Source organism: Homo sapiens, chromosome 19, assembly GCF_000001405.40.
Source record: "Homo sapiens chromosome 19, GRCh38.p14 Primary Assembly".
In the NCBI taxonomy this organism is placed as follows: domain Eukaryota; kingdom Metazoa; phylum Chordata; class Mammalia; order Primates; family Hominidae; genus Homo; species Homo sapiens.
Genome location: NC_000019.10, coordinates 21161174 through 21182260, shown reverse-complemented (window position 1 = coordinate 21182260; position 21087 = coordinate 21161174). Strand labels below are relative to the sequence as shown.

The 21087-nt window shown below is 38.8% G+C and overlaps 1 protein-coding gene across 14 annotated transcripts in view; it reads right to left on the bottom strand.

The window, feature by feature from the left end:
• ZNF431 (zinc finger protein 431) overlaps positions 1 to 21087 on the bottom strand; it is a 54014-nt gene that overhangs the window by 13793 nt on the left and 19134 nt on the right. For 8 of the 14 annotated variants that reach the window (NR_138053.2, NR_138052.2, XR_007066665.1 and 5 more), the window contains 2 exons: positions 15800 to 15926; positions 14595 to 14693 (listed from right to left, as the gene is read on the bottom strand). Coding sequence is in view for 3 of the 14 variants with exons in the window: in NM_001319124.2 (NP_001306053.1) it covers positions 14595 to 14693; positions 15800 to 15926 (226 nt within the window). In the remaining 11 variants the exon portion in view is untranslated. Of the gene's footprint in view, positions 1 to 6786; positions 6809 to 12378; positions 12459 to 14594; positions 14694 to 15799; positions 15927 to 21087 lie in introns of all 14 variants that reach the window. The other 6 variants (XR_007066670.1, XR_001753620.2, XR_007066669.1 and 3 more) reach the window with 3 other exon arrangements.

The window sequence follows — 21087 nt, the reverse complement described above, 5'->3', positions numbered from 1 at the left end:
AACAAGTAAAACACTGGCACATACATCTATATTACTTGCTTCTAGGGGCCCTTCCAGAAACTGGTCTCCCATAACATAAAGTGCTGAAAGAAATGGTGGTATATTTTGGAATTACAGTTTACTTCTGCTGAGACCAAAGGTAAATGTTACAGCAACAGAGAGACTGCAGTACCACAGACAGGGAACAGATACAGCAAATGACTGCTGATTAAGATGAAACAGAAACTCCTTTAACTAAAAAATAAACACAAAATTTTAGACAAGACACATTCAAAGAACATGTTTGAGAGTCTCACAGGATCTCAAACCAAGATAATTGTTTTCAGACTATGCCAGGACAAAGCTACATTATAAACAATGTGACAGGTAGCTATATTTAATGTCCAAATATTAATCAAAGATTACAATGAATACAAAATAGGGCAAAATCGCTCCACCAAAATTATAAGATTTTCAGAAAGAAACCATAAAAAAGATGTATACATTAATTTTAAAAATTTAAAATAAATTGAATACTCAATGAGTAAAATAAGGACACAGACAACTATAGAAAATCAGAAAAAATGAGAATAACAAAAATATTTAAAATATCCAAAAACAGAAATTGTAAAGGAAAATATAACTAAAAAATTCTGAAAGAAAAAATAATGTCAAAATGAAGAAGCTCAACAAATACACTAGGATACACATAAAGATATTTATAACAAACACATATATAAGCACAATTTCGAAAGTCACAGACAAGAAGAGAATGGAGCTGCAAGATAAAAACGACATGTCATTTACAAGCATAGTCTTATGAGATAGCCGGTGAACTGTCAACAAAAACTTTGCAGGCCAGAAGGAAACTGTGTGATATAGTCAAAGTCCTGAAAAAAATAGCTATAAAGTGAGAATAATACCATCAGCATATCTGTCCTTCCAAGTAAAAAGAAAAAAAACCTTTAAAAATAACCAAATACTGAAAAAGTACATTGGCTTTTCATATGCCTTACATATAAAAGATGCTGAAAACCGTTGCTGCTACTGAAAATAACATGATTCAACAAAACAACACATCATATAAAAGACATTATTCTCTGGGAAAAAAAATGCACATACACAAAAATGGAATTTCTTAGCATTATAATAATAGTGCAAAAAATATTAATTATTCTCTAAAATTTGAAAGGTACAAGAATAGAAATCATTATAAACATTTGTTAGCAAATATACAACATAAAATATACAATTAGCAACATCAATGACAAATTTGAAGGCAGATATAATGAGAAAAAATTTTTGGATGCAACTGAAGTTCTTTTTTTTTTTTTTTTCTTTTGATATGGAGTCTCACTCTGTCGCCAGGCTGGATGGTGCAATCTTAGCTCACGGCAACATCCGCCTCCTGGGTTCAAGTGATTCTCTTGCCTCAGCCTCCCGAGTAGCTGGGACTACAGGTGTGCACCACCATGCCCAGCTAATTTTTGTATTTTTAGTAGAGATAGGGTTTCACCATATTGGCCAGGGTGGTCTCGATCTCTTGATCTTGTGATCTGCCTGCCTCGGCCTCCCAAAGTGCTGGGAATATAGGTGTGAGCCACGACACCTGGCCTGAAGTTCATTTTTTACCAGATTAAAATACATTGTTGTATCTTTTAGAGGTTTTATATAATCCCCAAGGTAACCCCAAGAATACGTTTGCGTAAGTACACAAAACAAATGAGAAAGAAGTAAAAGCATACCAAGATAAGTACAACAAAGACACAAAGACAGAAAAAGAGAAAATGAGGAACAAAGATACAAGAAGCAAATACAACAATTAACAAAATAACAATAGTAAGTCTGCATAAGTGGAGAAAAATAAAATTCTTTTCAGACAAGCAAATGCTGAGGGAGCACATCACCACCAGGCCTGCCTTGCTAGAGCTCCTGAAAGAAGCACTAAGGTTAAGAAGAAAAAACCATTACCAGCCATTGCAAAAACACACTGAAGTACAAAGATCAATTATGCTATAAAACAACTACATCAACAACTCTGCAAAATAAGCAGCTAGCACTACTTGGACAGAATCAAAATCACACATAAAAATACTAACCTTAAATGTAATAGGCTGAATACCTCAACTGAAAGACACAGAAGGGCAAGCTGGATAAAGAGTCATGACACAGTTTGGGACCAGCCTGACCAACATAGTGAAACCCCATCTCTACTAAAAATACAAAAAATTAGCTGGGTGTGGTGGTGGGCGCCTGTAATCCCAGCTACTCAAAATCCCGCAACTACAACGAAACTGAACAACCTACTCCTGAATGAATTTCCTGAATGAACAACTTGCTCCTCTTTATTTCTGGGTAAATAATACAACTAAATCAGAAATCAAAAAATTATTTGAAACCAATGAGAATGAAGAGACAATGTAGCCGGGCGTGGTGGCTCACACATGTAATCCCAGCACTTTGGGAGGCTGAGGCGGACAGATCACCTGAGGTCGGGAGTTCGAGACCAGCCTGACCAATATGGTGAAACCCCGTCTCTACTAAAAATATAAAAATTAGCCTTGCTTGGTGGCCGGCACCTGTAGTCCCAGCTACATGGGAAGCTGAGGCAGGAGAATTGCTTGAACCTGGGAGGCGGAGGTTGCAGTGAGCCGAGATCACACCACTACACTCCAGCCTGGGGTCAGAGCGAGACTCCGTCTCAAAAAAAAAAAAAAAAAGACAATGTAACAGAATCTCTGGAACACAGCTAAAGCAGTGTTAACAGGGAAATTTATAGCACTAAGTACTCACATCAAAAAGCTAGAAAGATCTTAAATGGACACCCTAACATCATAACTAAAAGAACGAGAAAACCAAGAGCAAACAAAACTTCAAGCTAGCAGAAGACAAGAAATAACCAGATTCAGAGTGGAAGTGAACGACATAAAGACCCAAAAAACCCTTCAAAAAAACTCAATGAATCCAGGAGCTGGTTTTTTTTGACAAAACTAATAAAATAGACTGCTAGCTAGACTAATAAAACAAGAGAGAAAAATGCAATAAACAATAAAAAATGATAAAGGGGCTATCATCACTGACCCCACAGAAATAAAAACAATGTTCGGAAAATACTATAAACACCTCTGTGCACATAAACTGGAACATCTAGAAGAAATGGATAAATTCCTGGACACATCCATCCTTTCAAGACTGAACCAGGAAGAAGTTGAATCGCTGCATAGACCAATGACAAGTTCTGAAATTGAGGCGGGAACAGCCTACCAACAAAAAAAGTCCAGGATCAGATAAATTTATAGCTGAATTCTACCAGAGGCACAAAGAGGATCTGGTACCATTTCTTCTGAAACGATTCCAAATGATGGAAAAGGAGGGGCCTCTCCTTAACTCATTCTATGAGGCCAGCATCACCCTGATATCAAGACCTGGCAGAGATATAACAAAATAAAACAACAACAACAACACACACACACACACACACACACACAAACCTTCAAGTCAATATTCCTGATAAACATCAATGCAAAAATTCTCAATAAAATGCTGGCAAACTGAATCCAGCAGCACGTCAAAAAGCTTTATTCCCAGGATGCAAGGCTGGTTCAACATACAAAAATTGATGTAATTCAAGTCAGCTTTATTCCCGGGATGGAAGGCTGGTTCAGCATACAAAAATCGATGTAATTCATCACATAAACAGATCTAAAGACAAAAACTACATGATTATCTCAAAAATGCGGAAAAGGCCTTCGAACAAATTCAACATCCCTTCATGTTAAAAACTCTCAATAAACAAGGTATTCATGAAACATACATCAAAATAATAAGATCTATGACAAACCCATAGCCGATATAAAAGGGCAAAAGCTGGAAGCATTCCCCTTGAAAACTGGCACTAGATGAGGATGCCCTCTCCCCACCACTCCTATTTAACATAGTATTGGAAGTTCTGGCCAGGGAAATCAGGCGAGAGAAATAAATAAGTGATATTCAAATAGGAAGTCAAACTGTCTCTGTTTGTAGATGACATGATCCTAGATCTAGAAAGCCCCATTGTCTCAGCCCAAAAGCTTCTTCATCTAATAAGCAGCTTCAGCAAAGTCTCAGGATACAAAATCAATGTGCCAAAATCACAAACATTTCAATACACCAACAATAAACAAACAGAGAGCGAAATCATGAATAAACTCCCATTCACAATTGCTACAAAGAGAACAAAGTACCAAGGAGTAAATCTAACAAGGGAAGTGAAGGACCTCTTCAAGGAGAACTACAAACCACTGCCCAAGAAAATCAGAGAGGACACAAACAAATAAAAAAGATAGAAAGAATATTGTAAAAATGGCCATACTGCTCAAAGTAATTTATAGATTCCATGCTATTCTGACTAAACTACCACTAACATTCTTCACAGAATTAGAAAAAAAAAAAATTTAAAACTCATATGAAAACCCAAAAGACCCCATCTAGCCAAGATAATTCTTTTTGTTTTTTGAGACAGAGTCTCACTCTGTCACCCAGGCAGGAGTGCAATGGCATGATCTCAGCTCATTGCAACCTCCGCCTCCCAGGTTCAAGCGATTCTCCTGCCTCAGCCTCCCAAGTAGCTAGGATTACAGGAATGTGCCACCATGCCAGGCTAATTTTTTGTATTTTTAGTAGAGACAGGGTTTCACTATGTTAGCCAGGCTTTTCTCAAACTCCTGACCTCAAGTGATCCACCCGCCTCAGCCTCCCAAAATGCTGAGATTACAGGCGTGAGCCACTGTGCCTGGCCTAGTCAAGAGAATTCTAGGCAAAAAACACAAAGCTGGAGGCATCATGATATCCAACTTCAAACTATACTACAAAGCTGTAGTAACCAAAGCTGCCTGGTACTGTTATAAAAACATACATATAGACCAATGGAATAGAATAGAGAACTGAGAAATAAGATTGCATATCTACAACCATTTGATCTTTGAAAACCCTGACAAAAACAAGCAATGGAAAAGGATTCCCTTTTAATAAATGGTGCTGGGAGAACTGGCTAGCCATATGCAGAAAATTGAAATTGGACCTCTTTCTTATGCCTATAAAAAATTAACTCAAGATGAATTAAAGACTTAAATGTGAAACCCAAAACTACAAGAACCCCTGAAGAAAATCTAGGCAATACTACTCAGGACATAGGCATGGGCAAAGATTTCATGATGAAAATGTCAAAAGCAATTGCAAGAAAAGCAAACATTGACAAATGGGATCTAATTAAACTAAAGAGCTACTGCACAGCAAAAGTAATTATCACCAGGTGTGGTGGCTCACGCCTGTAACCACAGTGCTTTGGGAGGCCAAAGGGGGTAGATGAGGATGGGGTCAGGAGTTCAAGACCAGCCTGGCTAAGATGGTGAAACCCCATCTCTACTAAAAATACAAAAATTAGCCGGGCATGGTGGCAGGCGCCTGTAATCCCAGCTACTCTGGAAGCTGAGGCAGAGAATTGCTTGAACCCGGGAAGTGGAGGTTGCAGTGAGCCAAGACCGTGCCACTGCACTCCAGCCTGGGTGACAGAGCAGGACTCTGTCTGAAAAAAAATAAATAAATAAAATAAAATAAATTATCATCAGAGTGAACAGACGATCTACAGAATGGGAGAACATTTTTGCAATCTATCCATCTGACTAAGGTTAATATCCAGAGTCTACAAAGAATTTAAACAAATTTACAAGAATTACACAACCCCATTAAAAAGTGAACAAAGGCCGGGCACAGTGGCTCACGGCTATAATCCCAGCACTTTGGGAGGCCGAGGTGGGAGGATCACCTGAGACTGGGAGTTTGAGACCAGCCCTGACCAAAATGGAGAAACCCCACCTCTACTAAAAATACAAAAAATTAGCCAGGCATGGTGGCACATGCCTGTAATGCCAGCTACTCAGGAGGCTGAGGCAGAAGAATCGCTTGATCTTGGGAGGCGGAGGTGGCAGTGAGCTGAGTTTGCACCATTGCATTCCAGCCTGGGCAACAAGAGCAAAACTCAGTCTCAAAAAAAAAAAAAAAAAAAGTGAGCAAAGAACAAGAAGAAACACTTCTCAAAAGAAGACATTTATGTGGAGCTCAACATCAGTGATCATTAAAGAAATGGAAATCAAAACCACAATGAGGTACCATCTCACCCCAGTCAGAAAGGTGATTATTAAAAAATCAAGAAATAACAGATGGTGGGGAGGCTATGGAGAAATAGAAATACTGTTACGCTTTTGGTGGGAATGTAAATTAGTTCAACCATTGTGAAAGCCAGTATGGCGATTCCTCAAAGACCTAGAACCAGATATACTATTGGACCCAACAATCCCATTACTGGGTATATACCCAAAGGAATATAAATCATTCTATTATGAAGATACATGGATGTGTATCTTCATTGCAGCAACATTCACAATAGCAAAGACATGGCATCAACCCAAATGCCCATCTATGACAGACTGGATAAAGAAAATGTGGTACATATGCACCATAGACTAATATGCAGCCATAAAAAGGAACAAGATTATGTACTTTGCAAAGACAGAGATGGAGCTGGAAGCCATTATTTTCAGCAAACTAATACAAGAACAGAAAACCAAACACCATATGTTCTCACTTATTAAGTGGGAGTTGAACAATAAGAACACATGGACATATGGAGGGAAACAACACACACTGGGGTCTGTCACGGGGAGGGAGAGAATCAGGATAAATAGCTAATGCATGCAGGGCTTATCACCGAGGTGAGAGGTTAATAGGTGCAGCAAACCACCACAGCACACATTTACTTATGTAACAAACCTGCACATCCTGCACATGTATCCTGGAACATAAAATTAAATTAAATTAAACTTAAAAAAAGAACAACAATAAAACTGGTAATAGTAACTTTATATCTTTAAGCAGTCATTTTAAAAATTAGTTAAATTACTTAATAAAAATAATGTAATCTCAGAACTTTGGGAGGCCAAGGGAGCTGATCACTTTAACTCAGGAGTTTGAGACCAACCTAGACAACAGGGCAAAAAACTGTCTCTACAGAAAAAAGTACAAAAAACTATCTCGGTTTGGGATGGCAAACATTTGCAACCCAGTTACTCAAGAAACTGAAATGAGATCATCTGAGTTTGGGAGGTTGAGGCTGCAGTGAGTCGTGATCATGCCACTGCAAACCAGCCTGGATGACAGAGTGAGACTTTATCTCAAAAATAAATACATTGGCCAGGTGCAGCGGCTCATGCCTGTAATCCCAGCACTTTGGGAGGCCAAGGCGGGCAGATCACGAGGTCAGATTGGGACCAGCCTGACCAACATGGTGAAACCCCGTCTCTACTAAAAATACAAAAATTAGCCACTACACCTGTACTCCCAGCTACTTGGGAGGCTGAGGAAGGAATATCGCTTGAATCTAGGAGGTGGAGGTTGCAGTGAGCAGAGATCGATGCCATTGCTCTCCAGCCTGGGTGACAGAGCGAGATGCCATCTCAAAAAAATAAAAATAAAAATACATACATAAATACATACATACATACATTTATAAAAAGAAAAAGAAATAAGATGCCTTAGTAGCTTAAGTTAAAAAGTATACAATTTGCTGTCTATAAGAGAGGCATTTTAGCATTGAGTCAAATAGGTTGAAAGTAACAGAACTGAAAAAATCTATATTCCATGCAAATAGTAACCACAATTGGGTGAGGTGGTAATAATTATATTGTATATAATATGCTTGTATATAACAGCATAGGACATATGCTTGTATGTAACAGCATAGGACAAACACGATATTATATAACGGTCAAATGAGTCAATTTACCAGGAATCTGTAACTATCATATCTATTTATATGTATACATACATATGACATAAGGGCTCCAAAATATATAAAGCAAACGTTGACAAAGGTGAAGGAAGAAATACATAGCAACATAATTGTGGCGATCAAGACATCATTTGCAATAATAGAAAATTCAGATAAAATATCAGTAAGAAAACAGAAAACAGGCATTATAGACTGTATTAACTATTTTGCATATAGAGGAATACCTGAGTGTGTAACTTACAAAGAAAGAAGGTTTATTTGGCTCACAGTTCAGCAGACTGTACAAGAAGGATGTAACAGCATCTGCTTCCGGTGAGGGTCTCAGGAAACTTACAATCATGGTGGAAGACAAAGAGTAATTTTGGCGCCTGTAATCCCAGCTACTCAGGAGGCTGAGGCAGCAGAATCGCTTGAACCCAGGAGGCAGAGGTTGCAGTGCGTCGAGATTGCACCATTGCACTCCAGCCTGGGTGAGAGAGTGAGACTCCCAAAAAAAAAAGAAAAAAAACCAAAGAAAGAAAAAATAATTGAACTAAATTTTCATCAAAAAAGATATTCAAATGGGAAAAACCATTTGAAAAGAAAAGCAAAATTAATGATTTGTAGAGAAACTCATAAAAATAAAAATGAGGCCAGGCGTGGTGGCTCACGCATGTAATCCCAGCACCTTGGCAGGTCGAGGTGGACGGATCATCTGAGGTCAGGAGTTCAAGACCAGCCTGGCCAACACTGTGAAAGCCCCATCTCTACTAAAAATATAAAAATTAGCCTGGCATGGTGGCGGGCACCTGTAACCTCAGCTACTCAGGAGGCTGAGGCAGGAGAATTTATGGAACCCAGGAGGCAGAGGTTGCAGTGAGCCATCGTGCCAATTGCCTGGGTGACAACAGCAGGCCTGGATGACAACAGCAAGACTCCATCTCAAAAAATAAAAAATAATAAAGAAATAAAATCTCATTACAATGGCCACTATACTATATGTTTAAAAATATACTACATGTTTTTTAAAACACAAAATCTGTTGATGATACAATGAAAATAAAGCCTATGCTGATTGTTGGTAGAAAAGAAGGAAGCAGCCATTATTTAAAAATGTTATACATGCTTCTTAAATAATTAACAATGGAATTATCAAATACAGCAATCCCACTCTTACGAAGCTATATCCAAACTATCCAACACAGGACCTAGAAGACATATTTGAACATCCATGTTTATTGTACCCTTACTCACAAAAGCCAAAAGGCAGAAGCAACCCAGGTGTCTCTTAATTTATAAACACATCAAAAATGAAACATATATATTCAATGAAATATCACAGAAATCAAAGATCAAATGTTTTCATAATTAAATCAAATATTATCAAAGAAATCTTGTCACATTTTAAGATAAACTTTGAAAATATTATGTCACTTGAAATAAGCCAGAAACAAAATGATGAATACTATATAATTCTACTTATATGAGATAGCTTAAGTAGTCACACTCATAAAAACAGAAAGTGGAAGGGTGTTTGTCAAGCACTGGGGAGAGGGTAAAATGGCATCTTGTCACTTAAATGGATATTGGGTTTTAGTTTCACAACATGTGAAATTTCTAGAAGTCTTTTGCAGAACAATGTGAATATATTTAACATCCCTGAAATGTACAGCTTCTTTTTAAGACAGGGTCCACTTTGTCACCCAAGCTAAAGTGCAGCGGCACAATTATGTCTCACTTCAGCCTCAAACTCCTAGGCTCAAGTAATCCTCCCTAAATCTCCCATATAGCGGGGTCCACAGGTGCATAACACTATGCCTAGATATTTTTAAAAATTTTTATAGAGAGGAAATCTCCATATGTTGCCCAGGCTAGTCTCAAACTTTGGGGCTCAAATGATACTGCTGTGTTGGCTTCCCAAAATCCAGGGATTACAAACGTGAGCCACCACCATGTCTGGCCCTGAAATGTGCACTTAAATAGATTTAAGATGCTAAATTTTATGTTATGTGTTTTTATTGTTTCTTTTTCTTTCTTTTTTTTTTTTTTTGAGATGGAATCTCGCTCTCTCACCCAGGCTGGAGTGTGGTGGCATGATCTCGGCTCACTGCAACCTCTGTCTCCTGGGTTTAAGTGACTCTCCTGCCTCAGTCTCCTGTATAGCTCAAATTACACACATACACCACCATGTCTGGCTAATTTTGTATTTTTAGTAGAGACAGGGTTTCACCATATTGGCCAGGCTGGTCTGGAGCTCCTGACCCTAAGTGATCTGCCTGCCTCTGCCTCCCAAAGTGCTGGGATTATAGGCATGAGCCACCGTGACTGGCCTGTTATGTTTTTACAACAATTAATTTTTCTAAAGGAAAAACAGAAAAAAATACAGAATTATAAATCTTCTCAAAATATCCTTCAAATCACAAAAATGTTTTTCTCACACAAAGAAAATATATATTCAGGCCAGGTGCGGTGGCTCATGCCTGTAATCCCAGAACTTTGGGAGGCCAAGGCAGGTGGATCACGAGGTCAGGAGATTGAGACCATCCTGGCTAACACGGTGAAATCCCATCTCTACTAAAAATACAAAAAATTAGCCGGGCATGGTGGCAGATGCCTGTAGTCCCAGCAACTCAGGAGGCTGAGGCAGGAGAATCACTTGAACCCGGGAGGTGGAGGTTGCCGTGAGCCGAGATTGTGCCACTGCACACCAGCCTGGGCGAAAAGGCGAGACTCTGTCTAAAAAAAAAAAAAAAAAAAAAAAAAAATATATATATATATATTCATCATTAGAAACATGGTGAAAATAAGACATAATGAAAATATTTTCATGACTACTCACTTAGACAAGATAAAACAGCCACTGAAAATCAGTTAAGAAAGAATATATATGAGATAAGTCATAACCAATATTGGGGTCATATTTATAGATAAACACACACACATATAATCTGATCGTGATAGACGTATGGCTGACTTATCTCTTAATTACACCTCACATTGACTTAAAGTATACAAACAGAATTGCAAATTGGCTAAAATTATATAAGAAAAACTAAAAAACACAACAAGCTGATGTTAAGAAACCTATACTGAAAAAACGCTAATAAGAAACTGCGTAATAAGAGACATGTTTACTCATAAAATCTGGTATGCAACATTAAAGTACCATTAAAAAAGAATTGTCTAGATAACTACAATAGTTGACTGTGTACTCAGGGAAGGCAGGTATTTTGAATCATTGGCATGCACTGTATGGCAGTAAAATTTCACAGAATATGCAGTATAATTAGAATAGTCTAATAAGAAACTTTTTAAATAAGCATGTAAAAAATATGATAAATTTTACGTTTTAAATATATGCTATTCTTACACAAAATTGAAACCACTGTAATTCAACTTTAGAAGCAAAGAATAGCATTACATTGCTAAATTTAAACGTATATTTTGCAAAGTAGGGTTACAGCCTCTGATATGTAAAACAAATATTTAGAAATAAATTATGTTGGGCCGGGCACAATGGCTCACGCCTGTAATCCCAGCAATCTGGGAGGCCGAGGCAGGTGGATCACAAGGTCAGGAGTTCGAGACCAGCCTGGCCAATATGGTGAAACCCCGACTCTACTAAAAATACAAAAAAGTAACTATATGTGGTGGCACACGCCTGTAGTCCCAGCTATTCAGGAGGCTGAGGCAGCAGAATAGCTATAACCTGGGAGGTGCAGGTTGCAGTGAGCTGAGATCATGCCACTGCACTCCAGCCTGGGTGACAGATTGACACTCCATCTCATAAAGAAAGAAAAGAAAAGAAAAGAAAAAAAAAAGAAAAGAAAAGAAAAGAAAGAAATTATGTTATCATTTAGATATATGCTGAAGAAAGTGGGTGAAAATCCTATAATTCCTTTTTACCTGCAGCGAACTTAAATTTATAAGTAACCATCTTAGTAATATGGAGTGCCTACCAATTATCTAATTTACTTCAGGCATAACATGTAAATTCTAGCATATTGTCCTAAATGTCTGAATCTAAAATGACAGAGAAGTTTGAAATGGAAAATCGAAAGTAAAAATGTATAGAAAGAGTAACATCAGTGACATAAAAAAATAGAAGGTGCTCTATTTGATTATCCTCGCCACAAAAAAAAATTTATTCAGTCATCCCTGACAAAAAATGCCTTCATGAGACAGCCAGCCATCATGGCTCACATCTTTAATGGCAGCTACATGGTACATTGAGGTTGGAGAATTGCTGCAGGCCTGGATTTCCAGACCAGATGATAAACAAGATCCCATCTCCAAAGTAAGTGCCTTTAAGAGAGCTTTGAGATGCAGGGAGGGAGTTGTGAAACTCTGCTAAAGCCCAAGATTGAGGAGTGTTTTTTCAGAGGACAGGCACTTATTCGTGTGGGAAATTACAGGACCCTTGGTTTTGGCTACAGATCAAGAAATGGTCCACCCAACTTGGTCCAACAGAGAATTCTGAAATTAACTCTGTAACCATCCCAAACTCCTCCCAGTTACAGTCTAAGAGAGGTCCTGCCCTTCCAGAGACCTGGAGGAAGACACCTATTTGCAGCCATGCAGACAGGTTTACAGACCTTGGTTTTTACTGTGGTCCCTGAAGCAGTTTATTGACTCAGTTCCAGCTCTCTGAGCCGCAGATCATGATCAGTTTTTCCTAAACAGAAACCCACACAGTGACCTGAAGAAATCCTCTCTGGTATTCAGTGAAAGGCAAACCCATTCACATCCTGATAGGGCCATTATATAAGGAGCCAACTGCAGAAATCTGCCCTGGTATCTGCCCTACAGATCAAAGTCTTAAAGAATATATACAATCTGTCCAAAAATAAAATGGGAATTACAATTACCCAAGCCCTTGTGACAAGCCATCTAAAGGTGGACTCTAGTGCAGACCCAGCAGCCTTGTGACAAAGCTACAACCCCTCTTCACTACAAACCCAGAGGGCATTCCATCACCCTAGGGACACAACAGAAAAAGATCTTTACCTCCTGAAACCTGTTTATAAAAGCTAAGGAGTTGTTTGCTCCTTCAAATTCACAGATACCAATATAAAACTATATTGCGCCCATTGTCAATGCTTCTATTTTAAGGTAGCACTGAAAGTATGTGGCACAAGAATTAGTCAAGAACATTTTTTAAAAGCCATTGGAATTAAAGAGAAATAAGTAAAAAGTTGCTGTTTGTGGATCATATGATCTTATATATAAAAAAACCATAAACAGTACATTAAAATTTGTCTAAACAGCCAGGCGCAGTGGTTCACACCTGTAATCCCAGCATTTTGGGAGGCTGAGGGGGGCAAATCACAAGGTCAGGAGTTCAAGACCAGCCTGGCCAACAGAGTGAAATTCCGTCTTACTAAAAATGCAAAAAAAAATTTAGCTGGGCTGGTGCCGAGTGCCTGTAATCCCAACTACTTAGGAGGCTGAGGCAGGAGAATCGCTTGAACCTAGGATGCAGAGGTTGCAGTGAGCTGAGATTATGCCATTGCACTCCAGCCTAGGCAACACAGTGAGACTGTGTCTCAAAAAAGAAAAAAAAGAAAAATTTGTCTAAACTAATAAATACAGTCAGTAACTTAACAAAATATAAAATTAACATAAAGTTATGGTTCCATACACTTAAAACTATCTGATACAATAGAGGAAGAAAACAGTCTTATTAATAATAGCATTAAAATAAATTTCTGAGAACAAATATAACGAAGAAGGTAAAAAATCTTTACAATGAAATATATATCAATGAAAAAAATTAGAGAAGACAAAAATAAATTTTAAAATATTTCATGTTGGCCAGGCACAGTGGCTTACACCCATAATCCCAGCACTTTGGGAGGCCGAGGTGGGCAGATCACAAGGTCAGGAGTTTGAGACCAGTCTGAACAGCACGGTGAAACCCCAACTCTATTAAAAATACAAAAAATTAGCTATGTGTGGTGGCACATGCCTGTAGTCCCAGCTACTCAGAAGGCTGAAGCAGGAGAATCGCTTGAACACAGGAGGTGGAGGTTGCAGTGAGCCAAGATTGTGCCACTGCACTCCAGCCTGATGACAGAGTGAGATTCTGTCTCAAAAAAAAAAAAAATTCATGTCTTGGATTGAAAGAATATTGTTAAAATGCCATATTATCTAGAGTAATCTATACATTTAATAAACTCCCCATGATAATTCCAGTGGTATTTTTTTCACAATAGAAAATACAATTCTAAAATTTACAAGAAATTGTAATAAATTTCAAATAGCCAAAGCATTCTTGAGAAAAAAGAACAAAGCAGAGGGACATCATAATTTATAATTTCAAACTATATTTTAAGACTATAGTAATACAAACAGGATGAAATATGCAAAAAAATTAACAAGAAACCCCTAATGGAACAGAAATCACTACTCTCACATATTTCAGACAGGATTCAAAAAGAGAACTAAAAAATAATTTAACAAAGAATTTTTCAAAATTATACAGATATTTGTGCGTCCCCCAAAACAATAAAAAAGCAGTCAGATTATATGCCATGACAGTCTTTTATATGCTATGACAATATGCTTTGGCTCTCTTGTAGACTTGAAGGAAGATCCCCCAAGGAAAAGTAGAATTCTTAGAGAATTTAAAAGCATAAGACAGAAGATGTCCCTATGTAAGAAAAAATTTTAAGAAAATATTCAGGCCTCCCAGAAACTACATGCTTTATAACACAGCTTCCCAAAACACATTGTAAGGACTGGCACATTTTTTTTTTTTAAGCTTTGGACCTCTCATCTGTGTCATCTGTTTTTTTTCACTCTCACCTACCTGGGGGTTCATCCACCATCTCATGTCTCTTCATATTCCAGGGCTCTTTTTCTTGCTCCAGACAGGTGACTGGGTCTTGCTTAGAGACAGCAACACCTGCTTTATTAAAAATAAATAACATGAATCTTGCCTATATTCTCTAATTACTAACCTAGTACTGTGCTCAGTAAAAAGGATGTGATAGAATATTTTAGAAAATTAATCCAAAGGCTGGGCGCAGTTGCTCACACCTGTTATCTCAGCACTTTGGGAGGCCGAGACGGACAGATCACCTGAGGTCAGGAGTTTGAGACCAACCTGTCCAACATGGTGAAACTCCATCTCTACTAAAAATACAAAATTAGCTGGGCATGGTGGCAGGTGCCTGTAGTCCCAGCAACTCCAGAGGCTAAGGAGGAGAATTGCTTGGACCCGGGAGGCGGAGGTGGCAGTGAGCCAAGATAGTGCATTGCACTCCAGCCTAGGCAACAAGAGCAAACTTCCATCTCAAAAAAAAAAAAAAGTGTTTTAGCCAGGCGCAGTGGCTCACGCCTGTAATCCCAGCACTTTGGAAGGGTGAGGTGGGCAGATCTCCTGAGGTCAGGAGTTTGAGACCAGCCTGGCCAACGTGGTGAAACACTGTATCTACTAATACAAAAATTTGCTGGGTGTGGAGGTGTGCACCTGTAATCCCAGCTACTTGGGAGGCTGAGGCAGGAGAATCGCTTGAACCCAGGGTGGAGGTTGCAGTGAGCCAAGATCGCACCATTGCACTCCGGCCTGGGTGACAGGGTGAGATTCCATCTCAAAAAAATAAATAAATAAAATAAAATTAATCTGAAAATACTGATTAAAGAGAGACATCTCTAACTATTTAGAAAATATTTTAAATTTGTAGGTTTTTAATTTTACTACCTGAATCAAAAATTGGTGATGGCAAATAGATTTTAAGATATGGGCAGTGATATTTTATGCCACTAAATTTCTGGAATTATCACTAATCTAGAGTGAAGGATACACATCAGCTCAGGAATGTGGAAAGTTCAGATCAAGATGAAACACGTTGAAGAAATTCTTTTCCACACGGACAAATCATCAAGATTTTCTTGAAAACTGGGATTAGAAACTCATTTATACAAAGCATAAATTATCAAAAAAATTCTACAAAAAAAGAGACATGAAACATTTAGGGCATATTAAGAATTGTGTATGAAAGTTATTCTCACCCAAGAAGACCAGGTTTTTGTAGTTTTCTAACATCACATTCATATATAAATTCTGCTGAGCAGGGTTCAGGCATTCCCACTCCTCCAGAGAGAATTCTATGGCCACATCCCTAAATGTCAATGTCTCCTGAAAAACACAAGCACAGAGACACACATATATTTACCAAGTGGCCATGGGCAGAATTTATTATTTGAATTAAGGTGAATTGAGAGAGTAAAGAGAACTGATTCTGACTTATAAGAATAACTGAAATTATCCAATAATTTTTAACACAGAAATATTTTCTAATGTATTCTCCTACTCTGAGGGCAGAGAATGGCCTAAGATCCACAACACCAGTGCATATATGATACTTCTCTGGATGATAAAGTATATAATTAAGGACACAAACACAAACATATACATTATTGAGTGCTATACTTACATCATAATGAGTTGTGTATATTTTTCAGACAAAGAAAAACATGTTGAGTCAGAAGGTACCTCTCAAATTTAAATGTGCACGATAAACTGGAGATCCTGCCATGAAGATTTTTTTATATTTTTCAGAAGATCTGGAATAAAGTCTGAGTTTTTAAAATTCTAAAAAGGTCACTAGTAATGCCAATGTTTTTATCCCAGGAAGACTATTTTGTCAAACATTAGGCAAGTGAAAGAGACTGTGTTTTTCCCAATGTTTCTGGCTTGTAAACAAAGTCAAGTGTCTTCATTTTCCAAAGACAGACACATGCAAAAAAAAACAAAAACAAAAAAACCTAAGAAAAAAGGGCAGGCACCAGATTAATTGTGATGGTTTATGCACATTAGCTGTATAAAGATACTTAATAATAAAGATAAAAATAATTAACTCTATAGTGAAAAAAAGTCACAGAGCTCTTTAACCAAGTAAATTATTAACATCAACTACACTAGAACAAATTTCTATGATGTGCTGATGCACACAGAAGAACACAGCATCACTGCTGAGATATTGCCCCTCAAAAAGTCAATTATAGACTGAATTTAACCATTAAAAAATCAGTTTTATGCAAAGGTCAAGATATCTCCCGCATTCCATAATTTTAATAATGATTTTAAGTAGTCTTTCTTTAGCACTCTAGAGAGCAGGTATCTCTTAATAATTTTTTCACAACTTCCTGGGTTTAGATGAAACCACAACATTATATGTTCTCCATCTTTACTAAGGACCCCAGCTTTTCCCCAGTAGGAATCTTGAGTATCCACATCTTCCCATGTTCAACAGCCACAAAAGGAACACTTTTAATATGGCAGATCATAAATTCATGGTAGGAATTCTGCATTGCATATAAGAAGCCATGATGTAGAGAAGGGTCTGGTGCATAGGAAAACATTTTTTTTTTTTTTTTTGAGTTGCCCAGGGTGAAGTGCAATGGTGTGATCTCGGCTCACCACAACCTCCGTCTCCCAGGTTCAAGTGATTCTCCTGCCTCAGCCTCCTAGTAGCTAGGATGACAGGCATGTGCTACCATGCCTGTCTAATTTTGTATTTTTAGTAGAGACGGGGTTTATCCATCTTGGTCAGGCTGGTCTTGAACGCCCAACCTCAAGTGATCCACCTGCCTCGGCCTCCCAAAATCCTGGGATTAAAGGCATGAGCCACCGCGCCCAGCCAGAAACAAATATTTTTTAGAGACCCTTGACTATTACAAGAATTTTTTAAAGTACCTGAAACAAACTCACTGGGGAGGAAAAACACAAGCAGAGAAGGTTTCCAAGTACTAAACACATGGCACTCCAGGAGGCAGAGTGGACACAGCTCTTGATCTGAGACATGTTTAGCTGAAAAGAAGCCATTATTCCTCTTTCTCCTCCTTCTCTGGAAATCCTTTTCAGATAAAATTCTCTGGACAAGTAACACCTGCATCTTGAGAAAATTCCCTTAAAAGCATCAGCACCACCTGCTTACCTACTAGTGTCACGCCCACACACAGAAGGACCAAGACCAAAAAGTCCATGCATTTCTCTCCTTTATAACAGAAGAGATTCAGGAAAAAATGAGCTGCTCCATGGAAATAAAAATATGATCTGCCATATTAAAAGTGTTCCTCTTTTCCTGTCCACAGGTGCCCTCCCCTGCCACAGACACCAGCAAATTCTGCTACAGTAATGGAAATATGCACCACACTGCCCTGTCCCTACCAAACCCAAACTGAACGGGCCCTGTGACCACCCTTTAGTACAAAGGTGGCACTTCACTCTCATGAATGTATTTTGAAGCCCTCATATTTGATTCTGGCCTCAGCTTAGAGTCACATGAGGCCCTTCATTAAAACAACATGGATGCTTCCACCCAGAACAATAAATAGAAACTGTGGAAAGGGCACAAGTAAAGAGATTTCTGCAATTTTTTTTTTTTTTTTGAGATGGAGTTTCACGCTCTTACCAGGCTCGAGTGTAATGGTGCAATCTCAGCTCACTGCAACATCCGCCTCCCAGGTTCAAGCGATTCTCCTGCCTCAGCCTCCTGAGTAGCTGGGATTACAGACACACACCACCACACCCAGCTAATTTTTGTATTTTTAGTAGAGTCAGGATTTCACCGTGTAATCCTAATGAGAGAAGTGGGCTGATAAGCACTGCCTCTCAAGCTTTAATGAGCTTAAAAATTACTTGGTAATAGGATCAGGAGCAGTGACTCACGCCTGTAATCCCAGCACTTTGGGACACAGAGTGGGGCGGATCACCTGAGGTCTGGAGTTCAAGACCAGCCTGACAAACAGGGAGAAACCTCATCTCTACTAAAAATAAAAAATTAGCTGGCGTGGTGGTGCATGCCTGTAATCCCAGCTACTCAGGAGGCTGAGGCAGGAGAATCGCTTAAACCCAGAGGGCAGAGGTTGCAGTGAGACGAGATCGTGCCATTACACTTCAGCCTGGGTGACAGAGCGAGACTCCGTCTCAAAAAAAACCAACATTACTTGGGAATTTTGGTCCCAATCTATGTAATGTGAATCTGCAGGTTTGGAAAAAGTCCATGAATGGGTATTTCAAACAAGTCCCCTGCCAATGCTGATGTTGCTACCCCTGGGTTCATTATTAGCAGTAGTTAGAGAAAGCGGGCACAGCACAGAGTCCCTTACACTCAGCTCTGTTGTCACAACACAAATATTTCTGGTACAAATGGAGACAACCAATCTCCATCCAAACGTTTCGTATTCTTTGCTGGCTCTTTAAAGTTTACAGAGGAAACAGAAAGCAGCAATTTCAGAATAATTCTGCATTTGAAAAACAACATGTAAACATGTAATAATGCAATGTTTATTAAGCAGGTACTATCTGCTCAAGAGTATGTTACAGAGCACTATGTGGGGAATAACACATTATGTGACTTAATCCTCATAACACCCTGGAAGTTGACTCTAAGTGTTCAATAATTCCCAGGATTTAGATAAAGGGTTCAGCATTTTTATTTCTTCATCTGTTTCTCTGTCATTTTTAAAAATAAAATGTATAGAATAAAAGCTAAATATAGACAGATAGGAGGGATACAGAATGAGAGAATTTAATGTAGTTTAGAGAAATTTTTATTGTGTTTATATTTACTTTTTTGTTACTTGTGGAGCAACTACTGGATCTGCAGGAATAGAAAACAAGTTGCTAAATGGAATATTTCTGTAAGCACTGGTTTTAACACAAAACTTAAAAATTAGGATCCCAAAATATACAGTTTATTTTTCTCATTTACCTGCTTTTGGGTTTCTGAAATTTTGAGCACCAGCTCTAGAAAGGCAGCAGGATTCACCAGCAAAAACTCTCATCTTTTTAAATCAGCTTTGTGATGCAAGACTCCAGGGTGGGGCCAGACCTAAATAAGGGCTCCAAAAAGGGTGAATCTGGTCGGGTGTGGTGGTCATGCCTATAATCCCAGCACTTTGGGAGGCTGAGGTGGGTAAGTCGCCTGAGGTCAGGAGTTCAAGACCAGCCTGGCCAAAATGGTGAAACCCTGTCTCCACTGAAGATACAAAAATTGCCGGGTACAGTGGCTCATGCCTGTAATCGCAGCACTTCAGGAGGGTGAGGCAGGTGGCACCTGAGGTCAGGAGTTCAAAACCAGCCTGTCCAACATGGTGAAACCCTGTCTCTACTAAATATACAAAAATTAGATGGGCATGGTGGCAGGTGCCTGTAATCCCAGCTACTCAGGAGGCTGCAGCAGGACAATCGCTTGACTCCCATAGATGGAGGTTGCAGTGTGCCAAGATCATGCCACTGCATTCCAGCCTGAGCTACAGAGCTAGACTCCATTTCAAGAAAACACACACACACACACACACACACACACACACACACACACAATTAGCTGGATGTGGTGACAGGCACCTGTAATCCCAGTTACTTGGGAGGCTGAGGCACAAGAATTACTTGAACCTGGGAGACAGAGGTTGCAGTGAGCCGAGGTTGCACCACTACACTCCAGCCTGGGAAACAAGAGCAAGACTCCAACTGAAAAAAGCAAAAAACAAAAAAACAAAAAACAAGGGGTGAACGCTTGGTGCGGTGGCTCACGCCTGTAATCCCAACACTTTGGGAGGCCTAGGTGGGAAAATCACCTGAGGTCGGGAGTTCGAGATCAGTCTTACCAACATGGAGAAACCTTCTCTCTACTAAAAATACAAAAATTAGCCAGGCATGGTGGTGCAAGCCTGTAATCCCAGCTACTCGGGAGGATGAGGCAGGAGAATCACTTGAACCAGGGAGGTGGAGGTTGTAGTGAGCCTAGATTGCGCCACTGCACTCCAGCCTGCGCAACAAGAGCAAAACTCCATCTTAGACAAACAAACAAACAAACAAACAAAACAGACCTGGGTTAGGCACTGGACCCTCTGTAGAATTCTGTTCTCTATGCCACTGGGGTATTTCCAGTTCAGTTTTTCCTAAGTTTACCTAAGAGAAACTAAAATCCCAGAGTTTATGTAACTTTAATCTGCCCTTTCAATGTTATAACATATAATAATAAGCAACTTAAACAAATCTCTCAAGGTTTTCTAGGATAATTTTATCAGATGATATATATGTATTCTTAGCAAGGTAAAAGAAACACGAATAATAATAAAATTCTCCTGTCCATAAATATCCCTTCAGATGATATCAGAAGTCACAACAATACAAAAAAAGTGGCCCAAATAAAGCTCAAGTTTTTTTGTACACATCTATTCATTGTACTAACCATACAATACTTAATTCAACCATGTACCCAGTTGCTAGTCTAGACTAAAAGTTCCTGGATGGTAGGGATCATGACTGCTTTATTTATTTATTTATTTAT